At 42.1% G+C, this 25,609-nt stretch overlaps 1 protein-coding gene across 3 annotated transcripts in view, besides 1 other annotated feature; it reads right to left on the minus strand.

Annotated features, from left to right (window-relative positions):
* The window catches only part of ATXN1 (ataxin 1), a 462,349-nt gene that overhangs the window by 325,099 nt on the left and 111,641 nt on the right, over positions 1-25,609 (minus strand). The gene's annotated exons all lie outside the window — the stretch shown is intronic.
* Positions 11,998-12,167: an enhancer, noted in NCBI's record as "active region_24112". NCBI's record gives its function as "activates an Ori minimal core promoter by ATAC-STARR-seq in GM12878 lymphoblastoid cells {active_cell/tissue: GM12878}" and the evidence as "EXISTENCE:reporter gene assay evidence [ECO:0000049][PMID:35858748]".

The following is a 25,609-nucleotide window of genomic DNA, read 5'->3' on the forward strand; positions in this document are numbered from 1 at the left end:
CGTCGTGGCAGGTTCCTGTAATCCCAGCTACTTGGGAGGCTGGGGCAGGAGGATCACTTGAACCCAGGAAGCAGAGGTTGCAGTGAACTGAGATCACACCATCACACTCCAGCCTGGGGGATGAGAGCGAGACTTTGTCTCAAGAAAAAAAAAAAAAAAAAAGAGTTCTGGAGATGGATGGTGGTGACAGTTGTACAACAATGTGAATTCAGTTAATACCACTGAATGTACACTTGATGGTGAAGACGGTCAATTTTATAGTGTATGCCTTTTGCCACAATGTATGGTTTATTTATTTACTTAAAAGCAAAAGTGGCGGTGTTTTGTTTCAGTATTAGGTCGGGTTCAAGCAAACAGAAGGGTTATTCCTTCATAATCATATACATTCTGCACCATAGATTGAGCATTGCACCATTTTTTTATTTTTATAAGCTATACCAAATTTCAGTGCACAAATGCTATAACAGCACATACTGTGGGTGAGAATATAAAAAATTGTGAAAGTCTAAAGTTACTGCTCACATTGCAACCTTGACACAACGACTCTGCAAAAACAAGGGCTTAAATTTAACTGAATATGCCACAATTCAGAAAATGCTACTACCATATGCCCGAGGGGACTGAGTCACACTTGCAGTTTAACTTCAACTCCTGAATTTTTTGACTTCTGTATGTTTAAATTCTCATCAAACTGCAGCTTCAACCTTTGTTTCTGCCACTGATCGCAGAATGCATCGCTTATCATTTGACGTAATCTCTACCATGAAATACTTGTTTTTGAACAGCCTAAGGTTCGGAGGACACTTTTTTAAATGTTAAATAAAAAACTGTCAACGATTACTGGGAATGGAAAAACAGCCAAGCCTCTTTGATGCCATCCTTATGCCTAGAAAAATCTTCCCACTCCCACTCCCACATCGATCAAGTGAGCTGCATCTCTTCCTTCTTTCAAAGTTCACCTTAATTCACTTCTCTATGATTCTATAATGAAGGCAGCTGTGATTACAGCAGAAGTGAAGAAGAGAGTACTACCTACCCTGGGAGCAAGTTAATTTATGGCCATAGGCCCACTAGGGATACACTGAACGAACTACATTTTTTAATGTATGTCTATGCAATAACCTGTATATGATTTTTCCATCATTAAGAATCTTCAACAGTCCCAGATGCAAGGAAGACAGGCCATCCTGGAGGGGGCTAGGGATTTAGGGATGGCATTCCTATTATTTACAAGGCGCTGAGTTAGACAGACCATGTGTGACCATGGTGTTCCTGCTCAGAAGCTTACAATCGCTTTGGAGAGGCAAGGCATTTATCATGCACAGAGAGCTGATAATAGCAGGCAATTTTTCAATCAGCATACATTTATTCAGCAAATATTTACTGAAGACCTACTAAATGCCAGGCACGATGCCAGACATTAGGGACAAAAATATGACTAAGATGTGGTCCCAGCAGAGAAACAGATGGGGTTCCGTATAGTAACCATGTTATCAAGGAGTCATCAGAATGCTACTAGATGATAAAAATAGCAGCTTTCCCCTCTTCGAAAAATGCAGAGTACACATAACTAATCCAGTCACTGAGTGAGCATTCTGGCAATGAAAAAACATATTTGGAATGAGAATAGTGATCTTCAGAACTCTAGGTACCAAGCATTCCAGATACATAAATGTTCTGATCCCCTTGAGTGGCAATTGACCGGCTGACACTGAGGCAAACTTGCCACCATGGAAGATGTGAATTAAAACGAGTGATTGTACTAAGGTATAGAAATGGCACTCGTACTTCCTGTTTCATAACAGTCCTCACAAGACCCTTTTTAAATGTCTGCCTTTCCTGATAGACTGCAACCTGAAAAAAAGGAAGGAACTGGGTCTCTTTTATTTACAGTTTTCCCCAGTGCCTAGTACAACGCCTGACACATAGTAAGCAATTAAAAACATTTATGGCACTAGAATTTTCAATTAGCTGGCTGCATATTATTGCAAAGTTAACATCTGAAAAGGCTATTAAAATGGTCATGTAAAGACTTGGTAACCAATATAATCTAGTTTAATAATATTTATTTATTTACTTTATTTCTTGTTTTTGAGTCAGGGTCTTCCTCTGTTGCCCAGGCTGGAGTGCAGTGGTGCATGTGATCTTAGCTCACTGCAACCTCTCTGCCTCCCAGGTTCAAGTGATTCTCCTGCCTCAGCCTCCCAAGCAGCTGGGATTACAGGCACGCACCACCATGCCCAGCTAATTTTTGTTTTTTTAGTAGAGACGGGGTTTCACCATGTTGGCCAGGCTGTTCACGAACTCCTGACCTCAGATGATGTGCCCACCCACCTCGGCCTCCCAAAGTACTGAGATTACAGGCATGAGCCACTGCGCCCAGCTGGTTTAATCATACTTAATCAACTAATGAATCAAGTTAACTTATGGATACTGTTACTGGCTGAATTTTTTCCCCCCACAACCACTCAAAATTCATGTGTTGAAGCCCTAACTTCCAGTTTCTCAGAATATAACTGTATTTGGAAATTGGACCTTTTGAGAGGTAATTAAAACAAAATAAGGTCATATGAAAGGGCCCTATTCCACTATGACTGGTGTCCTTGTAACAGGAGACTGGGACACAGACTTGGAGGGAAGCCCACGAGAGGACACAGGGGGAAGATGGCCATCTGCAAGCCAAGGAGAAGGACTTCAGAAGGAACCAACTTTCCTGACACTTTCATTTCAAACTTACTGTCTCTAGAATCATAAGAAAATAAGTTTGTGCTGTTTAAGCCACTCAGTCTGGGTTACTTTGTTATGGTAGACCTCGCAAACTGACAGATACTAAGCCCTTGTTTGAGATGGAGCTGTGGCCCTATAAATGGCTATTTTAGAAAGACAATGTGAACTGGCAGCAACGGTACTGGAACAGGAATGAGGAGTCCATATGTCCACTTCTGGTTCCAGTCTGACTTCTTGGTCAAGCCATTTTTACTTCTCTGAGTCTCTTTCCTCCTTTAAATATAGAAGTTTAGATCACATGAGCTCTGAGTTTCAGGTGACCTAGAACTGTATGGTTCTATGCAGCAAACTCAATGTTACCTTCTAAGATGTGAGAGATGGCACAGAGGTGTGTCTGTTTTTCCCTGGCTACACTGAGCCACTGGCAGTAGGCCTCCCAAACACTTCCCATCTGCTTCTTGAACCATTTCATACATATCACCCAACATCCCATTAAAGACAGGGTCCTCGGCCAGGCGCGGTGGCTCACACTTGTAATCCCAGCACTTTGGGAGGCCGAGGTGGGCGGGTCACGAGGTCAGGAGTTTGAGACCTGCCTGGCCAACATGGTGAAATCCCATCTCTACTAAAAATACAAACATTAGCCGGGTGTGGTGGCTCACGCCTGTCATACTAGCTACTCGGGAGGCTGAGGCAGGAGAATCGCTTGAACCTGGGAGGCAGAGGCTGCAGTGAGCTGAGATCATGCCACTGCACTCCAGCCTGGGTGGCAGAGCAAGACTCCATCTCAAAGCAAACAAACAAACAAAAAAACAGGATCCTCTCTCAGCAAGTCTCCTATCACAAAAGGAATACACATCACAACGCAGCCCTGCTGGACCACCCCAGCTCTAAGGGGGAGGTCAACTTGTGAGCAATAAGTCGAAGCAACATGAAGAAGAAACAAGGACAAGGTGAAGAATGGCTCCATACATTGTATAATTTTCATCTATTCCAACCAGAAAAGAGCTGCTCATTCTGATCAAAGATGTTAATGAGCCCTGCAAACAGAAATTACTACAATAGAACAGTAGACACCTTCATTAATTATTTTCTCCTGCAATATTAGCACTAATGATTAGAAAATCTTCAATAGCAGCACAAATAAAAATAAACAGACACCAATCCTTGGTACAGCCTCCGTACAGATCCATACTGGACTGTTCATTCAGCACCCAGTATTCTGGAATTTGCCTATTAATGCAGGTGGAAGCAGTCCTGTTCATACAATATGACCCAAACTCCAAATTCAATGTGAATTTTTGGTTTTGATTTTTGGTTTATTTGTTTGTTTTGTTTTGTTTCCCCAAGGCCCAGCCGTGCCCGTCCCTAAAATCCATGGGATATCCACGTGCCCTCATCAAAATCCCCGTTTCTTAGAAGCTCCCTCTAGTGAGTTACTTTTACTGGCAATAAAGAATACTAATTAGCAAAACCATATTTCACACACAAACAAATGCATTAGGATAGTCTTTAAAATAACCTATTTCTTAAGCTTTTATTTTAGGTTCAGGGGTACATGTGCAGGTTTATTAAATAGATAAACTCATGCCATGGGGGTTTGTTGTACAGATGGTTTCGTCACCCAGATACTAAGCCTAGTACCCAATAATTGTTTTTTCTGCTCCTCTTCCTCCTCCACCCTCTACCCTCAAGTAGGACCCAGTGTCTGCTGTTCCCTTCTTTGTGTCCATGAGTTCTCATCATTTAGCTCCCACTTGTAAGTGAGAACATGCAGTATTTAGTTTTTTGTTCCTGTGATAGTTTGCTAAGGATAATGGCCTCCAGCTCCTTCCATACTCCTGCAAAAGACATGATCTCATTCCTTTTTTATGGCTGCATAGTATTCCATGGTAATATGTACCACATTTTTTTTGTCCAATCTGTCATTGATGGGCATTTAGGTTGATTCTGTGTCTTTGCTACTGTGAATAGTGCTGCAATGAACATTTGCGTGCATGTGTCTAAATTTATGGTAGAATGATTTATATTCCTCTGGGTAGATACCCAGTAATGGGATTGCTGGGTCGAATGGTAGTTCTGCTTTTAGCTCTTTGCAGAATTGCCACACTGCCTTCCACAATGGCTGAACTAATTTGTACACTCACCAACAGTGTATAAGTGTTCCCTTTCTCCGCAACCTCATCAGCATCCAACTGGTTATTTTTTGACTTTTTAACAACAGCCATTCTGACTGGTATGAGATAGTATCTCATTGTGCTTTTGATTTGCGTTGCTCTAATGACCAGCGATATTGAGCTGCTTTTCATATTCTTATTGGCCATATGTCTTCTTTTGAAAAGTGTCTGTTCATGTCCTTTGCTCACTTTTTCATGGGGTTGAAAGTAACCTTCTCCCCGCCTCCCCCTGAGGCAGAGTCATGCTCTGTCACCCAGGCTGGAGCATAGTGGTGCAATCTCGGCTCACTGCAACCTTCGCCTCCCAGGTTCAAGCAATTCTCCTGCCTCAGCCTCCCGCGTAGCTGGGATTACAGGCACTCGCCACCAGCCCAGCTAATTGTTTTTGTATTTTTTAGTAGAGATGGGGTTTCACCATGTTTGCAAGGCTGGTCTCTAACTCCTGACTTTGTGATCTGCCCACCTTGGCCTTTCAAAGTGCTGGGATGAAAATAACCTTTTTAAAAATATATATATTTCGGCCAGGCAAGGTGGCTCATGCCTGTAATCCCTGCACTTTGGGAGGCTGAAGTGGGTGGATCCCCTGAGGTCAGGAGTTCGAGACCATCCTGGCCAACATGATGAAACCCTGTCTCTACTAAAAATACAAAAAACTAGCTGGACGTGGTGGTGTGCGCCTGTAATCCCAGCTACTTGGGAGGCTGAGGCAGGAGAATCGCTTGAACCCAGGAGGCAGAGGTTGCAGTGAGCCGAGATCACACCACTGCACTCCAGCCTGGGCAACAAAAGCAAAACTCCATCTCAAAAAAAAAAAAATTCAAAAATTTCTTAATGTTGCCTTCTTAGAGTCTGTATAACCTTCTTCTGGAAAGGGCAATTTTTTTTAACATCTTGCCCATTTATTAGATATTATAAAGGTTAAGATGAAAATGCTTCCCAAGGGCCTGCCATGTTTTTCCTGTCATATAAATCATGTCTGTACGGGCAGAATCACAAAGCTAGAATGGGTCTGAGGACTCCTCCTCTCAGGCAACTTCCTTCCAACTGTGGGCATTCCCTTGGGTGCCCTCTTACACTCACTGATTCACCCAACATTCACTTGGGCACTTCTGCATTGTATGACTCTCTTGAGGCAAACAGGAAAAACCTGTATCTGCCCTCAAGGGGAGTCCCTCCTAGAGGAGGACACTAGCCATACCGTTGTTATGCTGAAGTTGCGAGGTCCATTTACAGAACCAGCCTTATCACTTAGCAATATAGCCCACATACCCATAAAAAAATTCAAGGGCCTAAGTGAGTGGATGATAATGTGGTCCAAAGGTGTGCACAGACATATGCTGAGTCACTTAGTGGGCTGATCAACAGGGGATTCATGGAGGAAAAGCTAACAGAAGTGACCACTCCAATGCATTGATGATATCAGAGCATGACAGGTCAAGAGAGCCTCCTGCAAGTCATCATCTGCTCAACTGTGAATCGGCATCTGAGAAAATAAGCAACAACCTTACCTCCCAAACACCAACATTAAAGCAATGCATTATTAAAATGGAGGTTCTCAGGTAGTAAATGAACACTTTAAAACTCATGCAATCATAAACATTAGAATATGCAGCAAAGAGATAATGATACTTGTCAGAAGATATTAAGACGACATGGCAATAAAAGGAATCTGTTCACAGAGAGAATGATTCTAAATACAAAATGGTCAGATTGATACTCAGAAGTATTGCTATTAATAGAAATAATATTAGAGAGGTTTCATTATGTAAATGGCTCATGTGTCTGCCAGAAATGTACCCAGTAATAATTTGCATTTCTGCTATAGTGAAAATTTCAGGGATGTCTCTTTGTTGGCTTATGAAGGACCCTTTCATTGGTAAGCCACAGTTTTTATAATCATGATAAGAAGGATCACCTATGCTCTTTGTTGATAATAATAATAACTAATAAGACACTCGTGTGTGCCTGGCACTGCGCTGACTGCCGTATGTGCAGCAGTCCTGTGAGGCAGGATTATTATTCATGTTTTAAAGCTGAGAAAACAGAGGCTTAGGTCAACTTTCCCAGGGTCTTAAAGACGATAAATTATGGAGGCTGGATTTGAACTTGAGTCTTTCTGACTCCATGCCCACTCTCCTTCCACTTGCAGCGTAAACACAGTGGCTCAAACTCTGTGGCTTCATGAATATAATGTTTCACAGGGTATGCAGTGATCTTATAAGTAGAAATGGGTCTAGAAAGATGGACACTCCTGGACACTGCATTGCAAATCTCGCTATCTGCTTTCACTCACTGACACCTATATTTGCCCCTTGAGTCCCTTGAATATTGGTGCCACACTCTGCTCAGCTCTTGATATGGTGCAAAGCACTAAAATCACACAGGTGTCACAGCCAAAAATTCTGTATCATTCCAAAGCTGACTTGTCCCCCATCAGTCCCAACTCTGCCCCAGAAGTCTCACTGAAATAAAGTCTCCAGGATACCTGTCTTGCCACTCCTCATTCACATCCTTGGTTTTATGACCCACACTTCTATAGGACTCTCCCTTCTTTAGTTCTAATTATTAAAAGCAGGGTTCTGAAATCCCAAGGTGATTGCAAAACTCCCATCTCAGCCACAAATCTTCATTAGAATGGCTAATCAATAAGAGTTTTGTTTCAGATCCCACCACTTTATTTCCTCTGTATGTTTTTTGAAGAATTTTTCAATTTGCCATGATATAACTAAAACTCAAGCATCAACAGGAAAGAGGAAGAGAAGAGCTCAGAAATAAGCCACTAGTGCTCGAAAATAGGGCATGTGATGTTAGAGCTGGTTTAGAATCCATGCTCCACTGCATCGTAGCTATGGTGGGGCATGGATTCTTATTATTAATTAGTCTCATTCCTTCACTTTTGTCTCACACCACCTGTAAAACAAAAGCAATAATGCTTACTTCATGGGGTAGTGAGGAGGTTTAAATGAGAGGCTACAGCTAATGCTCTTAATGAGATGCCTTCCTTTTCCTCTCTGGCCAGTGAGGGGTGGATCATGTAACAACCTCCTTTCCCTATTCACTCTTCTTCCCCAACTAATCCCCTCAGCCACTGGCACCATGTTCCGCATGTTAGAGGCATCCTTCCTGGGGCAGTGAGACACATCCTGAATCAGCCTTGTCACCCTAAAGGGGACCTTGCAACGTTTGCTCGTGGGTCGACAACACCACACAGAGCTGACATGAGGATGACATGTGACAAGATGACTTAGAGCCTGCTAAATGAACACATGAGCTAAATGCTAGGTACCACTGTGCTTTCCATGAGATTGTTAGGCAGAAGGAAAACACTGAATCTTTGCTCTCCAAAGTTTTGATTTGAATTCACACAGGCAAGATTCTTGTCAATGACCCAGAATCACTTAAGCCCCGAGGGGGCCATGCCACCAGCACAGCAGGGCCAGATCATGAAGCCCCACTGGGATGCGGGGTTGGGGGCTGTAAGGGTCTCGCTGTCAAGATGTGGCCCCACCAGTGCTAAGTTTATAGTGCTCCAAAAGCCAGGAGGGGGGTTAAGAAAAAAAAAATGCAAAAAACAAGAATTACCATGCCACAAACATGAACCTCTACAGAACCTAGAAAATGTGAAATTGGGCCAGGCTCACATCTGTAGTCCCAGCACTTTAGGAGGCAGAGGTGAATGGATCACCTGAGGTCTGGAGTTCGAGACCTCGTCGCTACTAATAACACAAAAAAATTAGCCGGGTGTGGTGGCATGCGCCTGTAATCCCAGCTACTTGGGAGGCTGAGACAGGAGAATCGCTTGAACCTGGGAGGTGGAGGTTGCAGTGAGCCAAGATCACGTCATTGCTCTCTAGCCTGGGCAACAAGAGCAAAACTCCGCCTCAAAAAAAAAAAAAAGAAAAGAAAGAAATGAAAATGTGAAATTGTTAAGACAATTTGGAGTTTAAGGGAAAAGCACATTTTTGAAAGTGGAAAATAGATGAGAAACATAAATACATTTGCTACGCATTGTTACAGTCTGTTATTGATATATGGTCATTTTGTTATAAAGAAACATTTAAAAGGAGGCATGTTTCACCTGTTAACTTGTTTACTTCATAAGATTCTCTTGTTGGGTAGATTTACAGATTTAAGGCACTGCCATAAATCTTTTCAAAACAAGGAAGATTATAAACAAGGTAATTAATTAATTATTTAATTAATTCGGCAAACAAGTCACCCATTGACAAGCCTAGAAAAAAATGCCACCCAATGTTTGTTTTATCAGTTTTCTTTTCCAGTTTTGGAAGGGAAAGCCCTTGAAACAAACATGACCACACGACCCATATGAGTCCTCATTGTAATGTTTTTCCCCAAGCACCCACAATTCCAGGTCCTCCCAATTTGCTTCCAGTTCTTGCCCAAGTTTAAACTCTTAACCAATGCCTACTATCTGCAGCCTCAAAGGGAGCTGAGTACTTGCCAACAGACACCGCCACCTCCCCTCCCTGAGGTTCCTGCCTTGCGAGAGTGTGTCATGTGGCTGCCAGGGCAAGGCAGAAGTGTAGGAAAAGGCACATCTCACAGGTTGTCCAGGAGGATTAGAGCAAATATGTCCAGAGCAGTTTCAAGTTGACTATAGAACCAAGGCTCCGAGCTAATTAATAGAAAGTGAAGCAATGATAGTGACAGCTCAAGGCAAGGGTGTGAAGCTCATGTCATTCGGTAAAGACAGTCCAAGGAAAAAGGACATTTACGCTTGCACCTTATTTGCTTTGCAGACTAACACATTTCTGTTAGAAATATGTCTTTACACTCCAGAGAGATGTTACAAGGTGTCGGCCTGCTACTAATTACAGCAAGCCCGCACTACAGCTAACAATATAACTCTAAATTCACTTGCTTCTGATTACCTACCTGTCATATGAAAGGCTATTCTTCACTCCAGTTGAACAAACCTATTAGATGTCTGGTTTCTTGATGTTTAACTCTCACAAGCAATTATCTCCAGCTTGAAATGCCCTTTTGTCTTCTTTATACAATCACTACTCTTTCTTCTTAGAAAACACAGTTTAAACCACTTCCTCCCTTAATCCATCTAAACTAACCCCATCTAGTTCTGGCATCCATGCAATCAATAGATTTAGCATTTACTTAGCAAGCACTACCATGGATTTCTCTGTAATGAAAAAGTTAATCCTACATATGCCTTATATGTAATCTTGAGCAGGTTCTCCTCTTTTCTGGGCCTCGGTTTTCTCATCTGTAGGAGGATAATACTCCCTACCTCATAGGGTTGTTTCTGAGAATTAAACATTTATTTTTAAAAAAACAGCTTTATTAAGATTTAATTTACATATAACTCAAGTGTATAACTCAAATGTTTTTTAGTATAGTCACTGTTTTGTAAAACCAACATCACAATCTAATTTTAGATTTTCTTCTCCAAAAAAGAAACCCTGTGTACATTAGCAGTCACTCTGCATTCCTCTCCCACCTCCGGCCTCTGCAACCCCCAAACTAACTTCTGTCTCTATGGATTTGTCTATTCTGGACCTTTCATATAAATGAAATTGAAGTATGTGGTCTCTCAATTCACATGATGTTTTGAGGTTCATCTATGTTGTAGCATGTATTAATACTTTGCTTACTGGTTGTTTTTTTCCTGATCAATATTCCATTAAACATTTATTTTGCGTGTGTGTGTGTGAGGAGGATACATATTTCATGAGTGCAGAGTGCTCAGCTCAGTACTTGGAGACACAGCACTCTGAAAATGTCTGTAGCTTTCATTACCATTGGCATTATTACTATCGTTTTGTCACTTTTGTTTACAATTGCACTGGTCTCCACCAGTTGATTATTAAGCTCTAGAGCAGGGGTTCCCAACCCCTGGGCTACAGACCTCCTGCACAACAGGAGGTGAGCAGTAGGCGAATGAGCAAAGCTTCATCTGTATTTACAGCCACTCCCCATTGTTCAAATTACCACCTGAGCTCTGCCTCCTGTCAGGTCAGCAACGGCATGAGATTCTCATAGGAGCGTGAACCCTATTGTGAACTGCACATGTGAGGGATGTAGGTTGCACCCTCTTTATGAGAATCTAATGCCTGATGATCTGTCACTGTCTCCCATCACCCCTAGATGGGACCGTTTTGTTGCAGGAAAACAAGCTCAAGGATCTCACTGATTCTACATTATGGTGAGTTGCATAATTATTTCATTATATATTACAACATAATAATATAAATAAAGTGCACAATGAATATAAATGCATTTGAATCATCCCAAAACCATCCCCCGCTCCACCCTAGTCTGTGGAAAAACTGTCTTCCATGAAACCAGTCCCTGGTGCCAAAAAGGTTAGGGACCACTGGTCTAGAGAGAAGGAGCTCTTCTTACACACTGCCCAGAAACTGAGGATGTGACAGAAGTTCAACGAGAGCTAACTAAACAACTAAGTAGCAACCTGACAAGGGCTCAGACAGCTCCAACTAAACCTACACTGCTGCTGCCGCTTACAAAAGCTCATTCATATGTGTGAGTTCAGGCAAAAACACAGTCGTTATCTGATTCTTTAGGCAGGACATTGACCAGATAAATAAATATGTCTGAATCTGCAGAGAAATAATTTCAAAAGGGCTTCAGAAGGAGAAGGAAAATCCACTGTAGCCAGAAGCATCCAAAAGCATCCTGAAAACATGAGTGGAGGAAGGCTGAGCAGGTGTGGGCTGGGGAGGCAGGCAACCCCGCACAGCAGCCAGCACAAACACAAAGCGACGACGCCCACTGTGCTGGGGAAGCACAGGCAGCACAGTCCGTGCAAGGGAAACGCGGCTCCCTACAAGGTGTTTTCAAGGTTCCGGTTTCCCCAGAGCACAACCCTAACCTCAGGCAGTGCACAGTTCTCCCAATAAAAGTCACTCGCCCGTGGAGATCACCGAACACCTGAATTGACACCACGGGCACTTCCAACCTGTGTTCCTGACCACCCTCCCCATGACCTGCCTCCCTTACATCATTTCTGTTTTCCTTTCCCATGGTCCTGTGACTTCTCTTACTCTTTCAAATGCAAAATGTCACAGCTGAAGGGAAGGAACCTCCAAGGATGATCTGGGCTACTGCTTTCTTCTTCATAGGGGAGGAAACTGAGATTCCAGAGAGGTTGGTAACTTTCCCAAGGTTACAAAATTAGCAGTGCAGCCGGAACTGAAACCTACATTGTGTGACCACTCTCCTCCTCCCAAAGCAATTTAGTTTCCAACTGGACCTCATCTGCCTACTTGTTTCTCCCCCAGCCCCCAGGCAGCCCTTCACTGTGGCTGCTGAGTCATCAGGATGAGCTTTGTTCTCAAGCAAGCCACTGGGACAGGCCCTCATGTCTTGAGTAGGACAAAGTATATTTGGCCACTCCCCACTTTGTGGTCACCCTGCTCTGCCTGATGCATGGGCACCTTCTGCCCATGACAACTGTCATTCGCCCTGAATAGTCTATGCCATCACACCTCCTTATGGCTACTAACATAAAAGGTAAGTGACTAATAAATGGTATCATGAATTAATATGAAACCTTTTATACAGACAAATATTTGATTCCTCAGTTATATTTTCTTGGGATCTTTTCTTCCCAGGTCATAGCAGTGCTGTTTCAACAGGAAATGTCATAGCTTGAATGCCAGGTGCACTTTAAAAAATAATCTAAACTAAATTAGCTTTTACACCTAACGACGGCCTGGGAATAATAAAGGAACTCTTTGAAAAAGGAAGAAAGTGGAGAAATAGGAACACTTTTACACTGTTGGTGGGCCTGCAAACTAGTTCAACCATTGTGGAAGACAGTGTGGCGATTCCTCAAGGATCTAGAACTAGAAATACCATTTGACCCAGCCATCCCATTACTGGGGATATACCCAAAGGATTATAAATCATGCTGCTATAAAGGCACATGCGCACGTATGTTTATTGCGGCACTATTCACAATAGCAAAGACTTGGAACCAACCCAAATGTCCATCAATGATAGACTGGATTAAGAAAATGTGGCACATATACACCATGGAATACTATGTAGCCATAAAAAAGGATGAGTTCATGTCCTTTGTTGGGACATGGATGAAGCTGGAAACCATCATTCTCAGCAAATTATCGCAAGGACAAAAAACCAAACACCGCATGTTCTCACTCATAGGTGGGAATTGAACAATGAGAACACTTGGTCACAGGAAGGGGAACATCGCACACCGGGGCCTGTCATGGAGTGGGGGGAGGGGGGAGGGAAAGCTTTAGGAGATATACCTAATGTAAATGATGAGTTAATGGGTGCAGCACACCAACATGATACATGTATACATATGTAACAAACCTGCACATTGTGCACATGTACCCTAGAACTTAAAGTATAATAAAAAATAAATAAAATAAAATAAAAAAAGAAAAAGGAAGAAAGAAACTAATTGAGCACACTAGAAGTCAACAGCTGTTTCTCCAATTAGAGTCACCTATAACAAGTGAATTCTTAGCAGGGAAAATCACCTTAAAATATCCATGTCGAGTTAGGAAAAAATGTTTCATAAAATAGCTATTAAATTAATTTTCTTGAATTGGCATGGGACAAGAAGCTATATAGTTCAGTTCTGCTAAACACCTAAAAAACTCTGATATACTACAGCTACGCCAGGCAAATCGCAAGTTGTTGGGGGGCGATTCCCAGAAATATGTGAATCACGATTGTGACTCATCAGTTTGGGAAATTTAGGACATGATCACTATCAGTCAAACATGATATTATTATCTGCCAAATGTCCAAGATATAAATTTCCTTGGAAACAGCTGGCAGAGGTAGGCATAGCCCTTTAATTTTCCTAATTTGTGGGCTAGCAGATTTTTTGGAATTTCACATACTAGTATGAAAGAGAAATAAATATGTTTTAATTAATGCATACATATGCACAGTTTAAACATATTCATAATCAGGGGTGGATCCAGTCTGTGAGGTCTGCAGTTTATAAAACTAGTCAAGGGGTAGAGGAGTGTGTATGGGGTGTTAGGGTCTTTAAGAAAAGATCTCAAAGGCCAGCCATGGTCACTCACGCCTGTAATCCCAGAACTTTGGGAGGCTGAAGTGGAGGATCGCTTGAGCCCAGGAGTTCAAGACAAAACTGGGCAACATAGTGAGACCCCCATCTCTACAAAAAAATACAAAAATTAGCTGAGCATGGTGGCATATGTATCTGCTCACAGCTACTCAGAAGGCTCAGGTGGGAGGATCACTTGAGCCTGGGAGGTTGAGGCTGCAGTGAGCCAAGATCACAACACTGCAATCCAGCCTGGATGACAGAGCTAGACGCTGCCTCAAAAAAAAAAAAAAAAAAAAAAACTGCACAAAATTATCAACATAAAATTAGGTACAGGGTCTTACAAAGGGCCTGCAGGAGCGAGACGCCTTGACGCTGAAGTGTCACTAGCTTCCAGATAAAACCTCCTGGCCCACAATGCATGCACACATCACAGTGGTGGGAACACCTATAAATGACCAAGATCAACATATTTCATTATAATTCCCTTCAATGCCAAGTATATGGTAAACACTTTAGTATACATTTTTGCTGAGTACACGTGACTAAATAGAAATGTTTACAAATTATGTTGTCGAGCTGTTAAATGAATTCCAATATGTGGCTTTACTACCTCATCAGGAAAACCTGTATCCCACAGTCATTTATCAGGCAGCAATGTCTAGCTTATGGAAACCCATCTGCAGGTTCCTAAGCAAGTAGCCCAGATTAATATCATAGTGCAGCTAGTCGGTGGCTATAATTAAATGCAGAAGTGGTATTGAGAGGTGAAGCCAGCTGGACTTCTTGGGTCGAGTGGGGACTTGGAGAACTTTTCTGTCTTACAAGGGGATTGTAAAATGCACCAATGAGTGCTCTGTAAAAACACACCAATCAGCGCTCTGTAGCTAGCTTGAGGTTTGTAAAATGGACCAATCAGCACTCTGTAAAATGGACCAATCAGTGCTCTGTAGAATGGACCAATCAGCAGGACATGGGCAGGGACAAATAAGGGAATAAAAGCTGGCCACGCCAGCCAGCAGAGACAACCCGCTCGGGTCCCCTTCCACGCTGTGGAAGGTTTGTTCTTTCGCTCCTCACAATAAATCTTGCTACTGCTCGCTCTTTGGGTCCCTACCATCTTTAAGAGCTGTAACACTCACTGTGAAGGTCCGTGGCTCCATTCTTGAAGTCAGCAAGACCACAAACCTATCGGAAGGAACCAACTCCAGACACAGGCTCACCGCAACCTCCACCTCCTAGGTTCAAGCGATTCTCCTGCCTCAGCCGCCTAAGTAGCTGGGATTACAGGCATGCCCCACCACACCCGGCTAATTTTGTATTTTTAGTAGAGATGGGGTTTCTCCATGTTGGTCAGGCTGGTTCTTGAACTCCCAACCTCAGGTGATTCGCCTGCCTCAGCTTCCCAAGGTGCTGGGATTACAGGCCTGAGCCATTGCGCCCGGCCCCTGGGTTTCTTTCTTAAGGCTTTTGGAGCTCCAAGGGGCCAGGGAAGTGCAGCTTCAACCAGCAGCAGCCATTGTTCTAACAGAAATCTGAAAATAACACATTCACTCTGACATGCCAACTCACTACTTTTAATTGTGGCTCATTAAAGATGTAAATAGAAGAATTATGTTCACCTCTACTACAATTTCATTGCTGCAGTAAAATTACAATGTTTCCTTCTATGCAGAAAGAAATACTTCTTCTCTGAGTAATAGCACCAGAAGTGGAGGCCTATGATTCACCAATTCTCCAACAGTAGGCATCACATGTGACTGCCTGTTGTTGGACAGAGGCAGATGGACAGAACGTTATTTTTTTTTAATGAAAAGAAAGGACACATCAGTTGAAAGATGCAACAGGCGCATCTCATTTTATTGCATTTCACTTTGTTGTCCTTTGCAGATACTGCATTTTTTTTTCAAATTGAAGTTCTGTGGCAACCCCGTGTCAAGCAACTCCACCAGCATCACCTCTCCAACAGCATGTGCTCATGTTGAGCCTCTGCCACATTTCGGTAATACAGTATTTCAAACTTTTGCGCTGTTATATCTGTTATGGTGATCTGAGATCAGTGCTCTTTGACGTTACTATTATAATTGTTTTGTTCACCATGAACCACACACCCCATATAAGGTAATGAACTTAATCAGTAAATGTCATGTGTGTTCTGACTGCTACAAAGACTGGCTGTTCTCTCTCCCTCCTCTCGGGCCTCCTTGTTTCCTCAGACACAAGAATATTGAAGTTGGCCAGGCACGGGGGCTCACGCCTGTAATCCCAGCACTTTGGGAGGCCAAGGTGGGCAGATCACGAGTTCAGGAGATCAAGACCATCCTGGCTAACATGGTGAAACTCAATCTCTACTAAAAATACAAAAAGTTAGCCGGACGTAGTGGCGGGTGCCTGTAGTCTCAGCTATTCGGGAGGCTGAGGCAGGAGAATGGCGTGAACCCGGGAGGCGGAGCTTGCAGTAAGCAGAGATCGTGCCACTGCACTCAAGCCTGGGTGACAGAGCGAGACTCTGTCTCAAAAAAGAAAAAAAAAAAAGAATATTGAAATTAGGCCAATTAATAACCCTAAAATAGCCGCTAAGCATTCAAGTGAAAGGAAGAGTGAGTCACATACCTCTCAATTTAAATAAGAAAACTAGAAATGATTAAGCTTAGCGAGGAAGGCATGTTGAAAGCTGACATATGTCAAAAGCCAGGCTTCTTGTGACTGAAGGGTTAGCCAAGCTGTGAATGCTAAGGAAAAGTTCTTGAAGAAAATTAAAAGTGCTACTCCAGTGAACTCATCAATGGTAAGAAAGTGAAACAGCCTTGTTGCTGATATGGACAAAGTTAGAGTGGTCTGAATAGAAAAGCAAACCAGCCATACATTCCCTTAAGCCAAAGCCTAATCCAGATCAAGGCCCTAACTCTCTTCACTTCTATGAAGGCTGAGAGAGGTGAGGAACTTGGAGAAGAAAAGTTTGAAGCTAGCAGAAGTTGGTTCGTGAGATTTAAGGAAAGAAATCTTCTCCAAATGCTGATGTAGAAGCTGCAGCAGGTTATCCAGAAAATTTAACTAAGATCATTGATGAAGGTGACTACAGATTTTTCAACGTAGGCAAAGCAGCCTTCTATTGGAAGAAAATGCCATTTAAGACTTTCATAGCTAGAGAGGAGAAGTCAATGCTTGACTACAAAGCTTCAAAGGAGAGGCTGACTCTCTTGTTACGGGCAAATGCAGCTAGTGACTTTAGTTGAAGCCAATGCTCATTTACCATTCCAAAAATCCTAGAGCCCTAATAATTATGCTGAATCTACTCTGCCAGTGCTATAGAAATGGAACAACAAAGCCTGGATGAAAGCACATTGGGTTACTAAATACTTTAAGCCCACTGTTGAGACTTAATTGCTCAGAAAAAGATTCCTTTCAAAATATTACTGCTTATTGACAATGCACTTCGTCACTCATCTAAGAGCTCTGATGGAAATATACAAGGAGATTCATGTCGTTTTCACGCCTGCTAACACAACACCCATTCTGCAACCCATGGATCAAGGAGTAATTTTTATTTTCAAGTCTTCTTATTTAAGAAATACATTCTGTAAGGCTATCATTGCCACAGAAAGTAATTCCTCTGATGGATCTGGGAAAAGTAAATTGAAAACCTCCTGGAAAGGATTCACCATTGTAGATGTCATTAAGAACATTTGATTCATGGGAAGAGGTCAAAATATCAACATGAACATCAGTTTGGAAGAAGTTGATTCCAACCCCCATGGATGACTTGAGGGTTTCAAGACTTCGGTGGAGGAAGGAACTGCAGATGAGGTGGAAACAGCAAGAGAACCAGAATTAGAAATGGAGCCTGAAAATGTGACTGAATTGATTGCTGCAATCTCATGATCAAACTTCAGCAGATGAGGAGTTGCCTCTATGGAGGAGCAAAGAAAGTGGTTTCATGGCCGGGCACAGTGGCTCACGCTTGTAATCTCAGCACTTTGGGAGGCCGAGGCAGGGGAATCACAAGGTCCGGAGATAGAGGCCATCCTGGCTAACACAGCTAACATTGTGAAACCCATCTCTACTAAAAATACAAAAAATTAGCCCAGCGTGGTGGTGCGCACCTGTAGTCCCAGCTACTCAGGAGGCTGAGGCAGGAGAATTGTTTGAACCTGGGAGGTGGAGGTTGCAGTGAGCCGAGATCGCGCCACTGCACTCCAGCCTGGGTGACAGAACGAGACTCCGTCTCAAAACAAACAAACAAACAAACAAAAAAACCAGTGGTTTCATGAGATGTAATCTACTCCTGATGAAGATACTGTGAACACTGTTAAAATGACAACAAAGGATTTGAAATATTACATAAACTTAATTGATGCAGTGACAGGTTTGAGAGGACTGACTCTAACTTTGAAAGTTCTACTATGGGTAAAATGCTCTCAAACAATGGTGCATACTACAGAGAAATCTTTCATGAAAGGAAGAGTCAATAAATGTGGCAAACGTCATTGTTGTCTAATTTTAAGAAATTGCCACCGCCACCCCAGCTTTCAGCAACCACCTCCCTAAATCAGTCAGCAGCCATCAACGTAAAGACCCTTTACCAACAAAACGATTATGGTTCAATGAAGATGATCGTTAACAGTTTTTAGCAATAAAGCATTTTAAAATTAAGGTATGTACTTTTGTTTAGACAAAATGTTATTGGATAATTAATAGACTATAGTATGGTGTAAACATAACTTATATGCACTGGAAAACCAAAAAATTTGTGTGATTTGCTGTATTGCAATACTTGCTTTACTGCTGTGGTCTATAAGTGAACCCAAAATATCTCTGAGTGTCCAGGCACAGTGGCTCATGCCTGTAATCCCAGCACTTTGGGAGGCTGAGGTGGGTGGATCACCTGGGGTCAGGAGTTCGAGACCAGCCTCACCAATATGGTGAAACCCCATCTCTACTAAAAATACAAAAATTAGCTGGGCATGGTGGCAGGCACCTATAGTCCCAGCTACTTGGGAGGCTTGAACCCAGGAGGCGGAGCTTGCAGTGAGCAGAGATCGTGCCACTGCACTCCAGCCTGGCAACAAAGCAAGACTCCCAACTCAAAAAAAAAAAAAAAAGACACAATATCTCTGAGCTATGCCTGTGTCTAAAAAATTCTGAACTCTTCCTAACAGGCACTACAGAAATGTAAGCCTGGCCAGCTGCGGTGGCTCACGCCTGTAATTCCAGCACTTTGAGAGGCCAAGACGGGTAGACTGCTTGAGCCCAGGAGTTTAAGACAAGCCTGGGCAACATGATGAAACCTCGTCTCTACAAAAAATACAAAAATTAGCCAGGTGTTGTCGTGCACACATGTAATCTCAGCTACTTGGGAGGCTGAGGCAGGAAGATCACTTGAGGCCCGGAGGTCGAGGCTGCAGTGAGCTGAGATTGCACCACTGCACTCCAGCCTGGGAGACAAGAGTGAGACCCTGCCAAAAAAAAAAAAAAAAAAAAAGAGAAGAGAAGAACGCAGGACTATGAGCCTGCTTGCAGAAATTCTGAGAAGAATTCGGGCCAAATAGGAGTTAAAATAAAGTGAGGGGAAATCAACTCCAAAGAGGCACATGAAACTATGTCTCAGAAAGAGTTCGATCGTTTGTTTGATAAATGTTATTCTCTTCAGTTATTAAGAAGAAAAAAAAATCTGTATCTTCTCTATGCCCATATTCCAATACAACCCAGTTTCTGAAATTAGAATGAGAACTTATTGATAATTACTGACATAATAAAGTATTGATAACAAATACTTTGGAAAAGAACAGTATATTTGAAACACTGTTATTAAAAATTAAATTATGGGCCAGACATAAAAGGACAAATATTGTATGATTCCATGTGGTCCCTAAAATAAGAAACTTCATAGAGACACAGTGTACAATAGAGGTTACCAGGGGCTGGGAGGAGAGAATGGAGTGTTATTGTCTAATGAATGCAGAGCTTCTGTTCGGGATGATGAAAAAGTTCTGGAAATGGATAGTGGAGATGATTGCACTACACTGGAAATGTACATAATGCCACTGAATTGTACACTTAAAAATGGTTAAACTGGGCCAGGTGTGGTGGCTCACGCCCCAGCACTTTGGGAGGCTGAGGCGGGCAGATCACGAGGTCAAGAGATCGAGACCATCCTGGCCAACATGGTGAAACCCCATCTCTACTAAAAATACAAAAATTCCCTGGGCGTGGCGGCATGCGCCTGTAGTCCCAGCTACTCGGGAGGCCGAGGCAGGAGAATTGCTTGAACCCAGGAGGCGGAGGCTGCAGTGAGCTGAGATCATGCCACTGCACTCCAGCCTGGCGACAGAGCAAGACTCCGTTTCAAAAAAAAAAAAAAAAAGGTTAAAATGGTAAATTTATGGTAAATTTTATGGTGTGTGTGTGTGTGTGTGTGTGTATACACACACACTATATATTTATATATATTTTAAAAATCAAATTAAGGACACTTTCAGAGTAGGGTATCTGATGGATAGCCTGGTCCCTGAGACACAGCGTGCTGCTCTATGCTGGCTCTCCAAAGTGGGTGAGAGTGGTGCCAGGAACGGGAAGGGATGATACTGACGTGGCCACTCACCAGGAAAGTAGAGGTCACCATGTCCATTTTCGCAAAGTGAGCACAGCTGCAGGTGAGCAAAGCCTCTGAAAATCAGCACTAGCATGGATGCCAAATATTTACGCTTCCTGATTTAAATGCATCAAGCAGACTTGATATTTTTGAGACTCTTAACGGTAGATCATTTTTGTAGAGCAGATAACCACTCCAAAACTGTTCAAGCTAATAAATACAGATTTGGGCCAAATTTACATAATATGTGCTTGTAGGTTCACTGGCCATGACCTTTGATAGCTGAAATTGAACTTTCCCCTTTCACTAAATGTCATTCCAAATTCCAGGCTGTCTTTGGAAGCAAACACTGCATTGCCTGTTGCCATGTGTCTTTTAGATAATAAACGTGGGTTCCACCAGATGGAAGAAGCAAAGTGCTTGCCCCAAATATCTAGGGTTCCTGCTAGGTACTCACGCCCAAACTGCATCTACTGTGAAGAGTTAGTTGACTTTGCATTCTGACCCAATGCAGGATGCTGGGCTCCTACAAGTGGTTTGTCTGATGGGCTCCCAGAGATGGCCAGCTGCCAGCAGCATCATTTAGAAGAATTCTGGTCCTGAGGACAGATTATTGAAAATAATCTATTTCCATTTAACCTCTGCAAAGTAGACTGGGTCCTTGTGGGGCTTTCGTTTCCTTAAAAGCAACTGTGTACTTGCTTAGCAACGTGGACTTAAACCAGTGGAAGAAATACTTAGTGGAGACTGGAAAACAGCAATAAAAGAGAGGTTCAATAGAGGGAGGGGTGGTGGCCGACTACAGACCAAGGGTGAGGGAGCCACAGATTGAATCCCAGCTTTACCATCTCCAAGCAGCATTACTTTCTTCAGTCCCAGTGACCTCATCCATTATAATATTAATAACATATAATTGAAATGCAAAAATTACACTCTCTACCTTTAAGATTTCCTATGGGGATCAAATGAGATGAAACATGCACAGGCAAAAAGGAGTTGCTCAGTAACTTAACCAGTTTATTTCTTCTTTAAAAAGGAAATTGTACAAAACATGTTTCCAGAGTTTTGTTAAGGAAGCTTTGAAAACAGACTCCACCAGTATTTATGGAGTATTCACCATACTGACAGTCTAATACCACTCCTCTGGGGAGCCCAGGATGGTGCAAGATGTATCTCCAAGGCTATGTGTGGTGGCACATGCCCATAATCCCAGCACTCTGAGAGGCCAAAGCAGGAGAATTGCTGGAACACAGGGCTCCAGAACAGCCTGGGTAACATAGCAAGAATCCATCTCTACAAAAAAAAAATTAAAAATGAGCCAGGTGTGGTGGCACATGCCTCTAATTCCAGAGCTCTGGGAAGTTGGGGTGGGAGGATCACCTGGGCTCAGGAGGTCAAGGATGCAGTGAGCTATGATGATACCACTGTACTCAGCCTGGGTGACAGAGCAAGACTCTGTCTCTTAAACAAAACAAAAGACGTGTCTACCACTCCAGGGAAGTGAAAAAGCAGATAAGTAAATTCCTGCTAAGAGTGATCATGACCCTCTCCTATTCAACAACCTTCAGTGGCTCTCCGCCACTTAAGAAAAAATGGAATTAATCCCATTTTCTCATCTGTAAAATGTGGATAGCTATGTTGAAGGGAGTTGTAATCAGAGCTAATTTATGTAAAGCCCCAACCACAGAATCTGATATATGGCACCACTCAGTGAATAGTTCACACTCACCGTTATCATCATTATCATTAAATCAGACTATCTTCCTCCCAGTCTCCCACTGTTCCACCTCACACACCTTAACCCTGGGCTCAAACTGGTCCACAGCTTTCCTCAAATATGCTCTGCTCTGCACTCTCCCTTCTCCACACCTTTGGGCACACGCCCTCCCGTGTGGAATGCCTTGCTCCCAGCTCTGTCAGGTGGAATCCTAGCCATTCTTCCAAGTCAGCTCTGATGCTTCCTCCAAGTCCTCACCACTCCCAAATCAGACTAAATATCCCACTCCTTTGTGTTCCCACAGCATTGCTTCGCCTTCCCTAGCTGGGTTCACCTACATGTTTCCCCTAACAGTGTAAATTCCTAAACCAAGTTTGTAGGAAGGCATGAAGAATAAACACTGGAAAAATTTTACCACAAACTGAGTAACTAACGAAATTCCATGAAAGTGGTATGATAATAACAGCTACCATTTTTTGAAAGCTTTACGTGCATCAAGACTCATTTAGGTTTTTTTGTTTGTTTGTTTGTTTGTTTTGTTTTTTTTGAGAAGAAGTCTCGCTCTGTCACCCAGGCTGGAATGCAGTGGCACCATCTCGGCTCACTGCAACCTCCACCTCCCAGGTTCAAGCAATTCTCCTGTCTCAGACGCCCAAGTAGCTGGGACTACAGGCACCTGCCACCACGCCCGGCTAATTTTTATATTTTTAGTAGAGATGGGGTTTCACCATATTGGCCAGGGTGGTCTTAACCCCTGACCTTGTGATCCACCCACCATGGCCTCCCAAAGTGCTGGGATTACAGGCGTGAGCCACCGTGCCTGGCCTGTTTTATTTTTCTTATTTCATGGATTGATAAACTGAGACCCAAAGAGATTAAGTCACTTGCTCAACATTACACAGCCATTAAGTGGAAGTTCGGTATTCAAACCCAGGAAGTTTGCCTCAAGAACCTACACTTTTCAACACATCATACTGTTTCTCAGCAGCATTATAACTATTTATTGTGAACTACCTAAGAAAACATATGGTGGCTGTAATCAGTTGTCTCAGGGCTAGATTTTAAATCTTTGAGATCTGGGGATTGAATATACAGCACAGTGACTATGGTTAATAATGATATTTGTACACTTGAAATTTGCTGAGACAGTAAATCTTAAATGTTCTCACCATGCAAGAAAAAATAACTATGTGAGGTGATGAAAGTGTTAACTAACTTGATGATAATAAACATTTCACAATATATATGTATATCAAAGCATCGTGTTGTACACAAATTTTGTCAATCATAACTCAATAATGCTGGAAAAATAAAATAAGGCCGGGCGCAGTGGCTCACGCCTGTAATCCCAGCACTTTGGGAGGCTGAGACGGGTGGATCATCTGAGGTCAGGAGTTTGAGGCCATCCTGGCCAATACGGTGAGACCCCCTCTCTACTAAAAATACAAAAATTATCTGGGTGTAGTGGCAGGTGCCTGTAATCCCAGCTACTTGGGAGGCTGAGGCAGAAGATCTCTTGAACCCAGGAGGCGGAGGCTGCAGTGAGCCGAAATTGCGCTATTGCACTCCAGCCTGGGCAACAAGAACGAAACTCCATCTCAAAAACAAAATAAAATAAAATAAAACTTTGGGATCCATCAAGGTACTCTGGTCTGTATGTAGATCCTTAAGATTTCAGGACTAGTTCACTTCTCTTTTATATCCTTCCTCATTGAAGCTACTATTGCTTACAGACACTTCCTTTCCTGCTACAGCCAACACTAGGCAACCTTGGAGAGGGTACAGCCACAATATCACCACATGGACCCACACATACAGTCTGCAGAGGGCAGTTCAACATAAGCACCTACTATATTGAGAGGCACCTTAGGTTGTAATGAAAAGCGTCATAGTCTAATTGCCTTCCTGAGTTTTTGTCACTAGGTACTTAGGATGCTTCTGAGCCCTGGCTCTCATGAAAGTGCAACAAAATATAGTCAGTACCTCCTGATGAATGAACTGTAACAGTCACCAAAAAAGTTTGCAACCCCATGGCTAGTGCAACAGAATAGCTAAAGGGAAACTGGGAGTCTGCACATTCACCTTAGCCATGGTATATTTCATGATGGATCTTGTAAACAGCTGAAGGGTCAGGTTTTTAAATGAATGCAAAGATCAGGACAGACAAAAATGAAATTCAGCTAAGGTTCTTTACTCTGCAAAACAGACAAGGATCAACTTACATGAAATGCTAAAAAATGATGTGGGTATTTAATGTTTCCAATCAGTGGTCAATCAATAAATGTTAGTGACTGACTAATTTCTTAATTAGTTAATCCAGTGACAGTTCACCTTTTGGCATGACTTTATAAACAAGAAAACTGAAGGCTGGGCAAGGCTATCATGCAAAAAAAATGACAAATCTCAAACTGAAATTCCCCATTACAACTTATTGACTCTAAAGCATTAATAGGAAAAAACTCTATTTTATATATGTATATACACATATGCATACATATATAATATAAAATAATATATAGTATTAAATAATCTTCCCCGATATCAAAATATTATTTTAAAAGATGTGAGCAGCGTGCCTCACACACTAGCCTTCATAAAATTCCATTCTGAATTCCTTGTCACACGTACAAATGATGATTTTCTTTTTAGTGGTGTTTTTGACATGTAATATTAAATAGCATCCTATTCCTTCCTTTGGAAAGAACTTTTGAGGAGCCGAATTAATTTTGGAGATGACTTTTCATTTTATTTAAGCCAAGTTATTTTTTTCTCTTTTGGTATTTTAGCCAAACAGAATTCTTAGAAATGAAAAAAAAAATAGTAACAAGTATATTCCTAGAGCAGAGTAGCCTTTCAGAATTGAAAATGTTACATCAACCCTTTAATGTTACCCAGTCTTTTTAAATTCCCTTAAGAAAAAAATACCAGATATTCACAAAATGTGGCCAGAACTGGATGTGTCATTTATTTGGATTTCTGATTTGGCCGACATGGTTATGCATGACATAAAACAGTTTAAAAAAATGGTTTTTAGTAACTTCATAAATATGGCTTACAGTGAAGCTGAAGCAATTCTATCTGATGTTAGAATTTTCTAATGCCAAAGATATACGCCAGTAGTTTAGTTTAAATGATGTGAGGCTGAATCCAACTATTACTGTAAAAACTGTTTAACCAAAAACATCTATTTTTGTAATTTTTATGAAATAGTAATTAGTACTAAGCTTATCCAAAAACATTTTTAATATCTTACCTGAAGGATTATTTCTGTATTTCTAAATGGGCTCTTTCCTTTCTTCTTACCTTTGTAAATATTTATTAAACTGTATTATATGCAGGAATGG

Source organism: Homo sapiens, chromosome 6 (assembly GCF_000001405.40).
Source record: "Homo sapiens chromosome 6, GRCh38.p14 Primary Assembly".
Taxonomy (NCBI): Eukaryota; Metazoa; Chordata; class Mammalia; order Primates; family Hominidae; genus Homo; species Homo sapiens.